Source organism: Homo sapiens, chromosome 4 (genome assembly GCF_000001405.40).
Source record: "Homo sapiens chromosome 4, GRCh38.p14 Primary Assembly".
In the NCBI taxonomy this organism is placed as follows: Eukaryota; Metazoa; Chordata; class Mammalia; order Primates; family Hominidae; genus Homo; species Homo sapiens.
This window is the reverse complement of record NC_000004.12, coordinates 13,007,247-13,010,516: the sequence shown is the minus strand read 5'-3', so window position 1 is coordinate 13,010,516 and position 3,270 is coordinate 13,007,247. Positions and strand designations below refer to the sequence as shown.

At 40.0% G+C, this 3,270-nt stretch overlaps 1 annotated feature.

Moving 5' to 3' along the window:
• Nucleotides 1,814-2,823: an enhancer, noted in NCBI's record as "VISTA enhancer hs259". NCBI's record gives its function as "enhancer in: limb[10/15]" and the evidence as "EXISTENCE:transgenic organism evidence [ECO:0001131][PMID:17130149]".

The window sequence follows — 3,270 nt, the reverse complement described above, 5'->3', positions numbered from 1 at the left end:
ACATGATGCCCAGTAGATATGGAAAGACCCACTAGAAGTGAAAGTGGTGCTCATTTGAGGAAGCTATGGTCACCAAAATGATGACTTTTCTGGTGAATATTTCATGGCAATTATACATGGGAACTACCCATTGGAAGCCCAAGCACAACCTAATGGGGAGGTGGGAGGGACCTCTGTTCAAGTGAGGACCATGAATGTTTCCCCAATTATACCAAGGGATGGGCAAAGGCTAGAAATCTGGGGAAAACCTTTTTAGAACACAAAGCAAAGCGAACTCTGAAGTGTGGTCTCATAGAAAGGTATAGGTCATGAACACAAAAGACTCTTTGTAGCAGACAACCCCCACATCCTTAATATTAATATCATATTGCAATATTTAATCTCTTACTGGCACATAATTCTATGAAGGTGAACTTGCTCTACTCCATCTGGTATTACATCACCCGGTACATGTTTTCCGGGTTCTCCGTAGCGGGAGAAGAGAGAGATGAAGGAAGCATGTAGACTCTCAACTTCCTTTAACTGAAAGTAATACACATCATTTCTGATTAGGGTCCATTGACCAGAGCCAGTCAAATGGCGCCAAGCTAACTGCAAGGGAGGCTGGGAGATGCTGGAGAAACCATGTATATTTGGTAGGATTAATGGTCTTTGCCACATACAGGCAAGAATTTTTGGTCTTGATTGATTTAATTTTCCACAATAAGAACTGGGCTGCTGTTGGGCACACAATGATTACCTCTTGACCTAATTGGTTCAAGTGTAAAATTGTGCAGCTTTATATTAAATTTGAGGCCTGGCACAGTGGCTCACCCCTCTAACCCCAACATTCTGGGAGGCTGAGGTAGGACGATTTCTTGAAGCCAGGAGGTCAAGAGCAGCCTGGGCAACCTAGTGAGAACTTGTCCCTACAAAGAAAAAGAGAAGTTGAACTCATGGTGTATCTAAGTCTGACATGAAGCTTCTAATTTTCTTAAATTCAACTTAAGAAAGTAATCATTGGGGCCGGGTGCAGTGGCTCGCGCCTGTAATCCCAGCACTTTGGGAGGCCGAGACAGGCAGATCACGAGGTCAGGAGATCGAGACCACCCTGGCTAACATGGTGAAACCCCATCTCTACTAAAAATACAAAAAATTAGCTGGGCGTGGTGGCGGGCGCCTGTAGTCCCAGCTACTCGGGAGGCTGAGGCAGGAGAATGGCGTGAACCCGGGAGGCGGAGCTTGCAGTGAGCCAAGATCACGCCACTGCACTCCAGCCTGGGCGACAGAGTGAGACTCCATCTCAAATAAATAAATAAATAATCATTGAATACTTTCGATAAAAATAAATAAGATGAGAAAAATTCCAATGATCTTAATGAAATTAGAGAGTTACTGGAGTCTGTAAAGATATCATTTTAGAAGTTTCAATCACCTTTCATAGATGAGGCCATTTAAAAAGATAGCATTATTAAGGGTTGTAAGAACAGTGACGCAAGAAAAATATGGCTTGCTCTTTAGTGAAGCGCATTCCACACAGTAGGCTCAGCACTGGTCCAGTGGAAACCAAAAAATGCAGATTTGCTGTCTATCACAAAGATAAAGGAGGGAGAAATGACTATTTTCTGTGTTGTCTACTGTTGGAAAGCACTGTTGCAGGGTACTTTATATTTAATTATCCTGTTTTGTGATCACACCAATGCTGTTTGGTAGGCATCATTCTCCCTAAGATACAACTGAAGATACTGAGGCACAGCGGTTATAAATAGCTGGTAAATAGAAGACCAAGTCCTCAAACCTGATCTCTCTACATTTGATTTTCTAATTTTTTCCTCCAATAGCTCCTTGCCTCTCTAGTTAGAAAACCAGTCTCTCGCACTTCATTGGCAGTGGGTGCTGTTGGGAGAGTGGGGTTGCTATTGTTTCAGCACTTCGTGATAGCAAAAATGAATCTCAGATCATAAACTGCAGAAAAACCTGACCCCCCCTTGGAGGGTCTTTTACAAATAAGCTATTTGTTTTTGTCAAGGACAGGTTTTGGTTTCATGGGATACGACTTTGTTTTCAACGACTCATTAAAGAAAGATGACTTACTGCCCTGTTTTCTAAATCTAGTCACAGACCACAATCACTTGCAGGAAATGGAATGTTTACTTGAGTTTATTATACAAGGCTCTGGATATGAGCTGTGGGATTTTTACACCTCATAGCAACGGTATTACAATTTATTTACAACTTCATGTTGGCAGCTGCACAAACTCTTATGAAAAAGGACAATCACACCTTGGGGACCAGTAATTATAGGCAAAGGTATAAATTGGGCAAAGCAGCGTAAGCATTTGGCACTTAAGTTGAAGAGAATAGAAATGGCTCTGGAAATTGGACAGAAAACCAGTCTCTTGTTCGTTATGAGGCCATGAACTAATTAAACTGAACTTGTCAGAATAGACAGATGAATAGATTGAATTGGATTTTGGCACTGACTGGTCCCACACTCATGAAAAGCAAGTTGTTTTAGTGATGTCATCATTTGGAACTTCTAACTATGATATCACTTTTGACAGAATTAATGTGGAATTAATACCATATGTACAAGCATTAATAGGAATTGACTTTGAACACTGAGTGGTTATTTGAGGTTGATTTCTAAAGGGAAACTTTGAGATAGGTTTTCCTTGCATTCACAGTTATCAGACATCAAACCAAGATTTGACGTAGATTTCAATATGTTTATTAGAATTCCTCTGAGACAAATCCATATATGTGTTACTAAAAAATATTTTATAGGAACATGGGTTAAAACATGTTTTATTTGTAATAATATTAAGCCTGGGGATGAAGGGATTTAAAATGAAATTCACAGTTAACTTAAAAGGAATTGCCCAGAGGGTTTTTTTTTTTTTTCAGTGAAACATTTGGATTTTAGGTAAACTTAAACCTCAGGCATGAGATGCTCTTCTTGATCAAGGTGTAGTGGTTGTGATTTCCAGTTTTCAAGAGCAAGTGGACTTACTCCCTCCCTTTTCTCACACTTGCAAACACTGTCTGGGTAACATCTTTTTGTATCCATTATGACTGGTTCTTTTGAATTTGGGGAGTGGTGTGGGGTATAGCCCATTCTTATTCAGCAAGCAAATAGTTACTTAATGCCTTCTATGTTACGGTAACTATTTATATATCTTCATGTTCCTTAAAATGAATTCCTTGCATTTGTAGAACTGGAAATCTTGAAAGTGTTATTGCATTCATTGCTGTACGACCACCTTAATTAACAAGCAAGCAAAGGAAGGT